This window comes from Homo sapiens, chromosome 5 (genome assembly GCF_000001405.40).
Source record: "Homo sapiens chromosome 5, GRCh38.p14 Primary Assembly".
Taxonomy (NCBI): domain Eukaryota; kingdom Metazoa; phylum Chordata; class Mammalia; order Primates; family Hominidae; genus Homo; species Homo sapiens.
Genome location: NC_000005.10, coordinates 27093912 through 27095306, shown reverse-complemented (window position 1 = coordinate 27095306; position 1395 = coordinate 27093912). Strand labels below are relative to the sequence as shown.

The following is a 1395-nucleotide window of genomic DNA, read 5'->3' as shown; positions in this document are numbered from 1 at the left end:
AAGATAATTATCTCAGGAAATAGTGTATGATGTGAGTCTCCTGGTTAGAGATGGAACATAACATGGTAGATTACATGATGTGTATAATTACAGAGTACTTTAGAATAATAGGTACCAATCCTGTGTTATTTTTCAATCTTTTGATACTTTTAAATATAATGCCTTTCAATTAATTTTTATTTCTGAAATATATTACTAGATGTTTAGACAGGCATTTCCAAAGCTCAAGTTATGCTACACATAAAATAGACTACCAGCTACTTACTAATTTTTAACAATTCTAGATACTCTTAAAGTTACTTCCCCTGGCTTACAGTGGAAGCAAAACTAGTCAGTTGTATAATTGATTGGGTAGTTCTTTTTCTAAGGTAGTTTAATATCATTTGTCAAAATCATCATGCTGATTTGAGAATGCAAATTGGTTAAATTTAGGTAGCTAAAAGTGCCCTCAAAGAAAAAAATAGGACTTTATTTTACAATAATTTATTTAGTTAACACTGTTGGCTGGGTTAGGTAATATTGGACCACTCCATATAAAAATAAAGTGGATATCACTGATGACTCAACTTACTTAAAAATGGATCTCCAACTAATTTTAGCTGATACTTTTAGTGAGAATAGTTAATATTCAGGATGAACAAGGTTTTTTTCCTTTTTTTGATAGGTACTCTTCTTTTCACATCAGGAGAATATTATGTTGAAGGGATGCTCATTCAGAAACATCATGCATCCAAACTCCAGTATCCCCAGCATTGAATAGTGTGATACAAACTGTTTCTTATGGATAGAAAATTAATTAATTTGAATTCCTGCTTTCTTTGCTCTTGTGAAGTCTGGGAAGAGCAGTACAGCTGTAATAAATGAGGTTAAGTCTAAATTCAGATTTGTAGTCTTACTTTATTATTTTGAGAATACAATACATGAACTCACTTTGTATTTCTTTTTTTTGTTTTGTTTTGTTTTTTTGTTTGTTTTTAAGACGGAGTCTTGCTCTGTCGCCCAGGCTGGAGTGCAGTGGCGCGATCTCGGCACACTGCAAGCTGCGTCTCCCGGATTCATGCCATTCTCCTGCCTCGGTCTCCCGAGTAGCTGGGACTACAGGCGCCTGCCAACACGCCAGGCTATTTTTTTTTTAATTTTTATTTATTTATTTATTTTTGAGACGGAGTCTCGTTCTGTCACCCAGGCTGGACTGCAGTGGCGTGATCTCGGCTCACTGCAAGCTCCACCTCCCGGGTTCTCGCCATTCTCTTGCCTCAGCCTCCCGAGTAGCTGGGACTACAGGCGCCCGCCACCACGCCCGGCTAATTTTTTTCTTGTATTTTTAGTAGAGACGGGGTTTCGCTATGTTAGCCAGGATGGTCTGGATCTCCTGACCTCGTGATCCGCCCACCT

General features: G+C 37.6%; 1 annotated feature.

The window, feature by feature from the left end:
* Positions 652-1151: an enhancer, noted in NCBI's record as "H3K4me1 hESC enhancer chr5:27094263-27094762 (GRCh37/hg19 assembly coordinates)". NCBI's record gives its function as "activates a minimal SCP1, AML or CMV promoter by ChIP-STARR-seq in naive H9 embryonic stem cells {active_cell/tissue: H9 hESC(naive)}" and the evidence as "EXISTENCE:reporter gene assay evidence [ECO:0000049][PMID:30033119]".